This window comes from Homo sapiens, chromosome 6 (assembly GCF_000001405.40).
Source record: "Homo sapiens chromosome 6, GRCh38.p14 Primary Assembly".
Lineage (NCBI taxonomy): Eukaryota > Metazoa > Chordata > Mammalia > Primates > Hominidae > Homo > Homo sapiens.
The window spans coordinates 87,488,565-87,501,444 of record NC_000006.12 but is presented as its reverse complement, the minus strand read 5'-3'; the positions used below and the strand labels follow the sequence as shown (position 1 = coordinate 87,501,444).

The 12,880-nt window shown below is 38.9% G+C and overlaps 1 protein-coding gene across 2 annotated transcripts in view; it reads right to left on the bottom strand.

Moving 5' to 3' along the window:
* The window catches only part of SLC35A1 (solute carrier family 35 member A1), a 39,363-nt gene that overhangs the window by 10,892 nt on the left and 15,591 nt on the right, over positions 1-12,880 (bottom strand). For both annotated transcript variants that reach the window (NM_006416.5, NM_001168398.2), the window contains exons 3-4: positions 778-937; positions 135-287 (exon numbers count right to left, since the gene is read on the bottom strand). In NM_006416.5, the coding sequence (NP_006407.1) occupies positions 135-287; positions 778-937 (313 nt within the window). The remainder of the gene's footprint in view (positions 1-134; positions 288-777; positions 938-12,880) is intronic.

Here is a 12,880-nt window from a genome sequence, read left to right as displayed (position 1 = left end):
CCTATCTATAAGGCAAAAGTTATTTTAAATCAAAGAAATGTAGTCATGCTGCATGCATCAATGTAACTGAACAGTATAAGACTTAAGGAAGTTTTCTATTTATGGGAAGTTATGGTGTGCATTTTGTTTCTTACCACCACTTTTGTAGCTTGGGCTGGTTTCCACTGTACAAGCGTAACTCCAGCACACAGCATAAAAACTGAAACCCACTGTAATTTGCTGAGTGTCCGGTTTAACATTAAAACAGTGCATAAAGCAGTACACGGAATCTTCAACTGGTAGGTCACCTAAAAAAAAGAGAATGAATTAATAAATTCAGTTAATGTTAGTCTCTGATACAAATATATTATTTCTGGTATCATTGATAAAATTATCAATAAAAAATATTTGATAATGGCCGGGCACGGTGGCTCACACCTGTAATCCCAGAACTTTGGGAGGCCGAGGCGGGTGGTGGATCACGAGGTCTGGAGATCAAGACCATCATGGCCAACATAGTGAAACCTCATCTCTACTAAAAATACAAAAAATTAGCTGGGTGTGGTGGCATGTGCCTATAGTCCCAGCTACGCGGGAGGCTGAGGCAGGAGAATCGCTTGAACCTGGGCGGCGGAGATTGCAGTGAGCTGAGATCACGTCACTGCACTCCAGCCTAGACGAAAGAGCGAGACTCCATCTCAAAAAAAAAAAAAAAATTGATAATATGATAAAGAGTTAATAAAAACTCTTTTTACCATAAAAGATTCTGTGCTTTTCATTATCATTAACTCCACTTACCTGGTACACTGCTGCATCCAGATTGCTAAGAGCTAGGAAAGCCATGTTGTTCTGAACAGCATACACTAACGATGGCACACTTAACTTCAACAGTTCCTTGGGGCTCCCCAAGACATTTTCTCTTAAAGATGCTTTGAATCTACCCAGACTACCAGTTTCTCTTTGAAAACAAAAGGGGGAGATGAGAGGGTGGTAAGGAAGAAAATTAAAGAGTATTATTTTAATAAGACTTCTTCAAACACAGGACAAGCATACTATGCTTGCTGTAATTTAGCAAACTAATAATTTCTAACTAGTTTTAGATTAAAAGAAACATACCAATAATGTATCCTCTTTAAAAAATTATAGTTCTGTTTGGGAAAATATGACAACAACTAGATTTACCACTATCTCTAGTCAAAGCTCTGAGAGATTCTGAGTATATTGAATAATGAGATTAGGAAAACTGTTGATATTACCTATAAAAAAATTCATCCCCTGCTACTTTAACTATTTCATCAAGTTCACCCTGATTACTTTTTAATTGATCAGTTTGCATATCCATTTTTATTTTTATATTTATTTTTGAGATGGAGTCTTGTTGTGTCGCCCCGGCTGGAGTGCAGTGGCGCTATCTCAGCTCACTGCAACCTCCACCTCCCGTGTTCAAGTGATTCTCCTGCCTCAGCCTCCTGAGTACCTAGGATTACAGGCACCCACCACCACACCAAGCTAAATTTTTTGTATTTTTAGTATTGTTGGCCAGGCTGGTTTCAAACTCCTGACCTCAAGTGATCTGCCCGCCTCGGCCTCCCAAAGTACTGGGATTACAGGCGTGAGCCACTGCACCTGGCCTATTTTTAAAGTTTTTTTTAAATTACAATAGATTTAATTGCAAATAAAAAGGCTTTGGTAGTTCGTTAAGTGGGTTAGGAAGAGTCAGGTCAGTATTATTTATAAATGAATTTAGTACTTATGAAATATAGTAGATAATAAATCCTTATGTAAGAATATTCTCATACTTTATATCTGTATAATTCTGTAGCAGATCTGAATAATTTACTAACTCCAACAAAAGTAAACTATATCTCTAATGTACATAAAGTTTACTGTTTGACTGCATATTGATTATGCATGCTCTTAACTATTATTTTTGCTATTATTATTTCAGAAGGACGTGGCTAATCTGGCTTGTATTTCCTGTATCATAAATCAGCTCATTGATTTCCTGAAAGTAAAAATAAAGCAATGTTTTATAATAAGCACCAATACCCCAAAAGAAGTGCTTTATAATAATGGTCCTAACTGCAGCTCACGATATCCTTAAGAAAACCATAATACTTTGTTGGTGAAATAGCTCTGTTCCAACTCAAAGTTTGATAATTACAATGAGATTCTGTATTTTTGGTTAATATATTAGAATCAACAGTTGTGAGTTGAATTTTTTCATTTTTAAATGCTGCAAATATAATTGCCCAAGTTCTGAGAGAAAGCAAAAGTCCATTATATTAAATTGACTAACCTGTGCCTATTTATTTGCTGTAGAACATTCTACCTCCAAGAAAATGCTTAATTAATAAGACAGGAACTTTGACCTAAGCCACAGAAACAAAAGACATCCTTCTTAGTTACAGATCTCTTTGTATTACCAAATCCAAACCCACACCACAGTGTTAAGTCTATATGCTGAAAAGGAACGCACACAGCCTAGTGGTGGACTACAAACTCTATTCGAAAAGCAGAAGAATACCAAAAATACCACAGATTTTCCACCAAAAAATCTATGTAGGAGAGTTTTCCAGGCTTCTGAAGATTGGCTCTTTAAACTAATGTTTGCCTTTTTTTTTAACTGCTTAATGCAAATCTAAGATGCCCCATATACTTTCCTTACATCTTTGTTGTTTTGTTTTGTTTTTTTTGAGACGGAGTCTTTCTCTGTCACCCAACCTGGAGTGCAATGGTGCAATCTCGGCTCACTGCAACCTCCATCTCCCAGGTTCATGGATTCTCCTACCTCAGCCTCCTGAGTAGCTGGGACTACATGCACAGGCCACTACGCCCGGCTTATTTTTGTATTTTTGGTAGAGACGGGGTTTCCATGTTGGCAGGCTGGTCTCAAACTCCTGACCTTAAGTGATCCTCCTGCCTCGGCCTCCCAAAGTGCTGGAATTACAGGCATGAGCCACTGCACCTGGCCAACATCTTAAATAGAGTATAAAGAATAATTTTCAAAATGTTTTCTCCTCAATTATAAAACTGATGAAAAAATTAGAGAAAAAGAGATTAAAATGTAAAATAATCACCTTAATAAGGTGATGTATCAGAGAAGATAACTGAACATTATAATTATCTCTAGTATCATGATAGCATAGATATAAATTTTACAGACTGTATGAAGTGCAAGTTTTAGTGCCCTTCTAAAATGCTGACTCATACACTGATGATGTGTCTTTAAGGTGATACCCAGAAGGAACTGCTGAGAGGTGGCTGTTTGTGCCCATGCTTCACACTCCACCTTCTCCCATATTCATTTATCTCCTGGTGTAAGATTCTTCATGCTAAACCCTCAAAAGCTACAATATAATGGCTATTTATCCTTTCCCTAATCCCCAGCTATGGGCAATGCCACTTTACCTCCACCTGTTAAATATATTATAGCCTTGGTGGGTGTGGTGGCTCACACCTGTATCCCAGCTACTCAGGAGGCTAAGGCAAGAGGATCACTTGAGGCCAGGAGTTGGAGACCAGCCCAAGTAACAGAGGAAAATCCCTTCTCTTAAAAAAAAAAAAAAAACTGCCAGGAGTGGTGGCACATGCCTATCATCCCAGCTACGCAGGAGGCTGAGGTGGGAGCATCACTTGAGCCCAGGAGTTTGAAGCTACAGTGAGCTATGATGCCACCACTGCACTCCAGCCTGGGTGAAAGAGTAAGATACCATCTCTTTTAAAAAAAAGAAAAAAATAAGACATTAGAAGCCTTCACTGGTAACAAACGACCTTTTGACTCTCCAAAAAACAGGGCTGATTCTCTTTGTCCTGTCAGAATATGGGCTACTTAAGGATCCAACTGCTACTCCAAATAATCACGATACCTGCACCAATAAAGGCTGCTGTGGTCCCTTTTCTCCCCACTCTTTTCTTTCTTATCACTTCTCCCTCACTTTTCACATAAAAAGAAGGGCTTATGAAACAAATTAGCAGCCAATCTGAGTATTCCTTTCCTTCAGTGGAGCAAAAAGTAAAGTACAGTGCGTCAGGATTAACCTTCAGATCTGTCTCTTTTGGCCATATCCTTTTTGTTGGATGCTTAGGAGCTATTTTTTCACGGTCAGGATGGCCAAGGTATCTTTTTCTGGTTCCTTCTCTAATGTAGACATTAGAGAAACCAAGGTATACCAGAATGTTAATTGCTGGAAAGTGCAAATATCACTGTAGTACCAAAGATTATAGCAATGTTACATAAGATATTTTGAAATAAGTTACAAAAAAAAACAGAGGATGCTAAAAGAACTAGTAAAAGAGAATAACAGAAAAGTATCAGAAAGTAGAGGAGATTTAGGAGGTATTGGAAAGAATATGTGGGAATCTCACCACACAGAAAGTTTTAAAGAAGAGGGTAAATAATTTCAGTATTAATCAGGTTAAATCCTGCTTAAGTTAATGTATTTATTAAGAATACAGCTCTTAATCTTATATTTAGCTTTACTCACTGAAGTTACATAAAAGTAACAAGAGCAATATATCTGCTAGAAAACACTAGTAATCATCGTTTTGTTTTACTATGAAAGAGATAGAAACAAATGATCAGTCCTAAATATACTGTAATATATTGTAAAAAGGTTACTTTTTCTTCCATTTTCCGGAACTTATATTTTCTGTTTTGGTGGGTTTTTCTTTTTTTTTTTTTTTGAGATGGAGTCTAGCCATGTCACCCAGGCTAGAGTGCAGTGGTGTGATCTCGGCTCACTGCAACCTCCACCTCCTGGGTTCAAGTGATTCTCCTGCTTCAGCCTCCCAAGTAAGTGGGAGTACAGGTGCACACCACCACACCTGGCTAATTTTTTGTATTTTTAGTAGAGATGGGGTTTTTCATCATGTTGGCCAGGCTGGTCTTGAACTCCTGACCAAGTGATCCACCCACCTCGGCCTCCCAAAGTGCTGGATTACAGGCGTAAGCCACCACGCCTGGCCCTCAACTTACTTTCTTAGAAATCAAATCACAAGCACCTTAATGAGCACCTCTGTTAAAAACAAATTTATTAATTATATAAATGACACTGCTAGCTAGGACAAAAGAGCGTATATAATCAAAAACATATATTAAATTTCTTTTTAGATATAGTCTTCCTTGTTAAATTTTCTATTTGAACAATTCTTTTTATTTTTATCATTGGAATAGACCCTGTGCAACCTTTGGTTACCTGAAGAAATTCTGAAGCTCCATGTTGACTGCAGAGAGATTCTGCTGCTGCCTCTCCCACTAAATTTCCTATCAACCAGCTGAAACCATTCTTTCTGACCTCTGTTTGGTCAAAAGTAGGCCTCATTCTTCCAGCTACTGATCTAACAAGAACTACTAGGAGGCATAAAATCCTTGGCTAGGTTACCAAGTCACTGTGCAAAATGGAACACAGCAGAAGTTACTCATGAGCTTAAGAAAGTTAAATTTTGTTTATAAATTTCTTATCATCTACAAAGTTAAGTATAATTAACTCACCTAAAAAGACTTTGATTGGCCAGGCACGGTGGCTCACGCCTCTAATCCCAGCACTCTGGGAGGTTGAGGTGGGCGGATCACAAGGTCAGGAGATCGAGACCATCCTGATTTACACGGTGAAACCCTGTCTCTACTAAAAATACAAAAAATTAGCCGGGCGTGGTGGCATGCACCTGTAGTCCCAGCTACTCGGGAGGCTGAGGCAGGAGGATGGCATGAACCCGGGAGGCACAGCTTGCAGTGAGCCAAGATCGCACCACTGCACTCCAGCCTGGGCGACAGAGCTAGACTCTGTCTCAAAAAAGAAAAAAAAAAAAAGACTTTGAGGGGCTAGGTTAAAAAACCAATAATGAGGTCAATTTGAGGACAAAAATACCCTTCATATGAGGGACATGATTTTTACTTCCTCCCCAACACCCTGAACCCATTATAGCATGGGTACAAAAGGGTACTGAAAATGTAAACCCAGAAGGAGAAATAAACAAAGCTGGATAATCTATAAGTATTTGACAGATACATTAATTTCTCTAGATAATACTATGAAACAGTAGAATAATTTTCTCTGGTCTTAATATGGGTATGTAGTTCAAAGTTAAGATATATTTGGTTTGTTACTAAACACACCCAAAGTGTATGTACATTAACATTTACACATCCTGCTAGGGATAGTCTTTATAAACTATGGTGAATAGCAAACAATAAAAAGTTGTTTGAGCTGGCGCAGCGGCTCACACCTATAATCCCAGCATGCTGGGAGGCCATGGCAGACGGATTGCTTGAGTCCAGGAATTTGAGACCAGCCTGGACAACATGGCGAAACCCCATGTCTACAAAATTAGCTGGGTGTGGTGCTACGCACCTATAATCCCAGCTACTGGGGAGGCTGAGGCAGAAGGATTGCTTGAGCCCAGGAAGCGATGGTTGCAGCAAGTCAAGATCACGCTACTGCACTCCAGCCTGGGTGACAGAGTGATACCCTGTCTCAAAAAAAAAAAGTTGACTTTGTTCCTTTGTTCCAAGGCAATATGAAAGTGTTTTCACTTCCTTTTCTTTATACTAACAATGACAGGTTTAAATCTAAACTGTTAGTGTTAACAGCTGTGATAGAGTCTAGTAAAGCATTATAACAATTTTCCCGTGAATTGCAGCAGTAATTAATTTTATGAAAAAGTACTTTTAAATGTTGTATTGTTTATCTTTCAACCAAATTATAGCTTAGAAATTGATAACTTAAAATTCAAATATTTGGCCGGGTGCAGTGGCCCATGCCTGTAATCCCAGCACTTTGGGAGGCTGAGGCAGGCGGATCATGAGGTCAGGAGATCGAGGCCATTCTGGCTAACACAGTGAAACCCCGTCTCTACTAAAAAATACAAAAAAAAATAGCCAGGCGTGGTGGCAGGCACCTGTAGTCCCAGCTCCTCGCGAGGCTGAGGCAGAAGAATGGCATGAACCCAGGAGGCGGAGCTTGCAATGAGCTGAGATCACACCACTGCACTCCAGCCTGGGCAACAGAGCGAGACTCTGTCTCAAAAAAAAAAAAAAAAAATTCAAATATTTAAAAAAAATCACCTTATTTACATGTACAGCTTTCGCAATATCCAACTGCTAATCTGCCCCTCCCTCAAAACAGAATTTACTAATTTCTCTTTTAATTTAAAAGTTATCTGATATAATAATTCATATGCACAACAGTGTATGTACAAAGATAATTATTACATCTTTGTGTTGGAGTAGAAGACTGGAGACAACCCAAATGCCCATCAGTACAGACTGGTATATATGGTATCTATACATAATGGAATACCATGCAGCTTTTAAAAAGAATGAGATAGATTTCTATGTACTGACATAAAACCACCTCTAAGGTAAAATACTTGTGTTAAAAAAAAAAAAAGGAAAGTGGGGTACAGTGTACATCACACACAAGGCCCAGCAATCTCTTGCACATAACATTTACTACTTTGACCACGTCAACCTTATCTATCAAAGTAGCCATCCATTAATTCCTTCCCACACTCCCTTTTTCTTTTCCAGTTCTAACTTCTTATTGAAATAAGTATAATTTCACATGCCAAAACTTCCAGGGTGTTGTAAGTATAATCAACAAGGATGGGGGAATCTCAAGTTAAATACAAACAGAAGCCAAAAACAACTGTCTACAAAATTATACTTGGAGAAAAAGAGAACTCAAATATTCTAAAACACAGTATTTTACTGTATGCTGTAAAACTAAAACAAAGAGAACTACATACAAATACATACTTCAGTTAGTAGTTTGTTTTTTTCTCAGGTAAATATTAGAAATTCTGAAACTACTCCTTATCTATTCTAGGATTGAGCAAATAAGTAAACATCTTGAGCATAATGGGAGCTAGAATCCTCACCATTAGATAAGGGAACAAACATGGGTAAGGAGAAGTTTAGAATGAACACAGTGATGTTAGATCAAAATTGTGGTATCAATCAATGTAGAACTCTTTGTTATACACACACACACACACACACAACTAGATTTAGATAGGTGTCTATGCATACACATGCATATATATTTCATAGCTCTGCTAAAAGGGTCTAAAGTAATGATACTCCAGTATCAATGTGTATACCAAATGCCTAGATTCTGGTTTCCAAATACCATTCTGGAAAAAAAAGGAATAAAGGATCCTTGAAGAAATGTATGATTTCAGGGTTGGGGCAGGGAAAGTACAAGAAAAGCCTGTAACAAGATATGCTAAAAAGAAACTGTTTAATCCCACTGTGCAAATCTGGGACATTTTGAGCATCAAAATAATGATAATAATGGATTCTAACCTGCACAATAAAATAATCCTTGAGTCCATGTTCACATAAATACAAAGAGGGAGAGAAAGGGGGGAAGAAGGGAAATTTCTAGAGTAGAATGCCAATAAATGTATAGGTAATGATGAAGTATCAGGAAGTTATCATTTGACAACAGTATCAGACCACAAAACCAGTAGGTGAAAGTGTGATGAGAAAGAGAATATTTATCTCGTCTCAAAGTATCTCTCCAAAAGACACTTGTTAATAACAAAGAGAAAACTGGTAACTTTATGTGGAGAAACCTAGCAGGCACTACCTTAATCAAGAAACCAGGATTAGGCCAGGTGTGGTGGCTCGCACCTGTAATCTCAGCACTTTGGGAGGCCAAGCTGGGTGCATCGCCTGAGGTCAGGAGTTCAAGACAAGCCTAGCAAACATGGTGAAACCCCATCTCTACTAAAAATACAAAAATTAGCCGGGTGTGGTGGTGCATCCCTGTAATCCCAATCCTACTTGGGAGGCTGAGGCAGGAGAATTGCTTGAACCCAGGAGGCGGAGGTTGCAGTCAGCTGAGATCATGCCATTGCACTCCAGCCTGGGCAACAAGAGTGAAACTCCAACTCAAAAAAAAAAAAAAAAAAATCAAGATAAATTACCAGTAATGGAACAAATAGATACCACGTACATCTTTATATACTGCACTAAAAGGGACGCATCATTTCTATGATATCCCTGACCCAAAAAAACCCTAAATTTAATCATAAAACTCAATAAACATAATTTGAGAGATTCTACAAATTAAATGGCCTGTGTTAATATCAATGACATGAAAAAAAAAGATGGAGGAACTCTCTAGATTAAAAGAAACTAGAGACATGACAATTAAAAGCAAACTGTAATCCTGGACAGGACTGAAGTCCAAGAAAAATAACTATTTTGCTATAAAGGACATTGGAGGGCAATTGGAAAAATTTATATAAGGTCCGTGAATTAGGTAATAGTACTATATCAGTACTGATGTCTCAATTTCGATAATTTTATTGATTATATATAAGAGAATGTCCTTGTTTTTAGGAAACATGCACTGAAGAACGTTAGGGACAAAGAAGCATCTTGTCTAAATCTTACTCTAAAACAAATCAGAAAAAAATTCTATACATGTTCACACAAATAGAAGAATGTCATAAAACAAAAATGTTTTGTTGTATGTGTAATGTGCTATGGGCTAAATGTGTTACCCCTTAAAATTCATATGTTGAAGCCCTAATCCACAAATGTGATTAGTATTTGGAGAAGGGTCTTAGGTTTAGTGAGGTGATGAGGGTAGAGTCCTCATGATGGAATTAGTGCCTTATAAGAAGAGGAAAAGGCCAGAGCCATCTCTCTCTCCATCACATGAAGATACAGCAAAAAGGCAGCAGTCGGCAAACTAGGAAGAGGGCCCTCACCAGACACCTAATCTGCCAGCATCTTGATCCTGGACTTTCCAGCCTCCAAAAATGTAAGAAATAAATGTTGCTTGAGCCAACTGGTCTATGGTATTTTATTATAGAGCCACCTGAATGAAGAAGACACATGGCAAAGTGTTAACATTTGGAAATAAAAAGTTAAGAGAAAAAATTATTGTAAACTACTGAAATGTCTAACAACGCCACTGTGCTTATCTTTGTCTTAATCAAAAATACTTAATTACTTCATTTTTCTGAAAGACTCATAATTTGAAAATCAGAGTTCAAGAAACTTGTCTTCTAATCCTGTCATTGTCAATTACTTTCTAGGTTCCTTTGGCAAATTAAAATTTCCCTCAGCCTAAGATTTCTCATCAAAGAAGAGGAAATAATAGTTTCAGCCAAAATGAAGATAAAGGTTGAGTAGCCCAAATCTGAAAATTCAAAATCTGAAATGTTCCAAAACCTAAAACTTTTTGAATGCCAACATGACATTCAAAGGAAATGCTCATTAGAGCCCTTTGGATTTCAGGTTTTCAGATTTGGGATGCTCGTATCAAATTAATATAATGCAAATATTTCAGAATCCTAAAAATCCTGAAATCTGAAACACTTCTGGTCCCAAGCACTTTGGATAAGGGTTAGTCAACATGTACAAGAATGAAATGAAAATAAGCTGTATTTACCAGCTTGTTTCCCTCACCTGTTTCTAAGGCTGGACATCAAAGAGTGTTTCCTTAACACTTTCACCCTCTGGCAGCCTGCCATTCTCAATAGCAACAATTCTGAATAACTGAAGGCAGCAAATATAATCTTAAAGGAGGATGTGTGGCATTTTACATAACACATTTTGACAATGATTACTAGTTGGTATTCTACAGAGTATAGCTACCTGCTCTCTAAAGAAGACATCTACTCATGAGGTTTTCAAAAATACTTTTCAAAGTCCCAAAAGGGGGCATTATTCTTTTCTTTGGCTTTTCTAGGGCATTTTAAATTTATAGCAATAATACACTTTCAGTGCTTTCCTCATATTTTTTGCCTAGTTTTCTTGGAGACCACAGCAACATATGCACCGTTGCCTTCTGTTCTTTTACCCCAACGTGAAAGAAATATCTTTTTCCTTTTTTTCAAATAAAAATTACATTGGGAGGCCGAGGCAGGTGGATCATGAGGTCAGGAGTTCGAGACCAGCCTGGCCAACATGGTGAAACCCCATCTCTACAAAAAATACAAAAATTAGCTGGGCATGGTGGTGTGTACCTGTTGTCCCAGTTGCTCAGGAGGCTGAGGCAGGAGAATCACTTGCACCCAGGAGACGGAGGCTGCAGTGAGCCGAAATCACGCCACTGTACACCAGCCTGGGTAACAGAGCAAAACTCCATCTCAAAAAAAAAAAAAAAATGATGACAATATATATCAGGCACCCTTCACTGAAGCAAGTCTGTATTTCTTCTAAGAAGTTAAATATCCTAAAATTTTCAAGTAAATTGCATTTATAATTTTTTTTTGAGACAGGAGCTCACTTTATCCCCCAAGCTAGAGTACAGTGGTACAATCTCAGCTCACTGCAGCCTCCACCTCCCAGGTTCAAGCGATCCTCCTGCCTCAGCCCCTGAAGTAGCTGGGACTAAAGGTGCACACCACCACACCCAGCTAATTTTTGTATTTTCTGTAGAGATGAGGTTTTGCCATGTTGCCCAAGCTGGTCTTTAACCCCTGGCCTCAAGCAATCCACCCACCTCGGCCTCCCAAAGTGCTGTGATTACAGGTGTGAGCCACTACACCCAGTGTGCATTTACAATGTTTAATAGAGTTCTCTTTTAAATATGTTAAATACTGTCTTTGTCTGCTTTGCGTTGCTGTGAAAGAATACCTGAGACTGGTATTAAAAAAAAAAAAAAAAAATTTGGCCAGGCGCGGTGGCTCACCAGCACTTTGGGAAGCTGAGGCAGGCAGATCACAAGGTCAGGAGTTCAAGACCAGTCTGACCAATATGGTGAAACCCTGTCTCTACTAGAAATATAAAAATTAGCCAGGCGTGGTGGCACATGCCTGTAGTCCCAGCTAGTCAGGAGACTGAGGCAGGAGAATCGCTTGAACCTTGGAGGCGGAGGTTGCAGTAAGCCGAGATTGCGCCACTGCACTCCAGCCTGGATGACAGAGCAAGACTCCATCTACAAAAAAAAAAAAAAAAAAAAAAAGCTCACAGTTGAGCAGGCTGAGAAGTTCAAGGGCATGGCCCTGGCTTCTTCGAGGGCTTTCCTGCTGCATCACATGGCAGAGAAGGTCTAAGGGGAGGTGGACACGTGTGAAGAGAGCAAAACATGAGGAGCATCCTGGCTTTATAACCCACTCCCGAGAAATAATCAATTCCTGCAAGAACTAATCCTGTCTCTTGAGAGCCACAGCTCACTACCAGGAAAACAGTACCAAACCATTCATGAGGAATTTGCCCCCACAACCTAAACACCTCCCACTAGACCCCGCCTCCCAACATCACCACACTGGGGATAGAATTTCAATATAAGTTTTGGTGGAGACAAATCACATCCAAGCCACAGCATATAACCAGGACAAAGAAAATATTTGGAATTAGAATTAAGCTATTGTCTTCCAATGTTTTAGCAAACCAGTTATACCCTTCAGCCTACAAAACTTTTACCATACTAATGTGAATGTTAGGATATCCATGCCTCATGGCATGCAACCCATCTACAGCTACCCTAAGGAAGGCATTAAAGGCAAGAGAAAGAACAAAAGACAATGGGGTCTCAGCCCTTTGACCTAGATTGCCATCATGGGTTCTGTCCAAAAAGGACTACCTGGTTATAGAACCTCTCTACCACCTCAAATTCTGAAAAAGAGACTGGCATTTCATTTAAAACATGGATCTGGAACCTTGCTGATCCATTTGGTCACACAAAATTTTTAGTCAGAGATTGTATGAATTAGTCCCTTTCCAGGCTCAAAGTTCTTACACATGAAGTGAGTGTGACTAGACTTCAGATCTCCAAAACCTCACCAAGAACAATCCATGGAGCTACAATTGCCTCTGCTTAAATTCTTGGGACCTGAAGATTCTAATTTGCACACTTGATTGAGTTATACCTACCCTGGCCTGCTTAATTTAACTCTTACAAAGTTCTAGGGCACTGCCTCAGTACCAGACTGA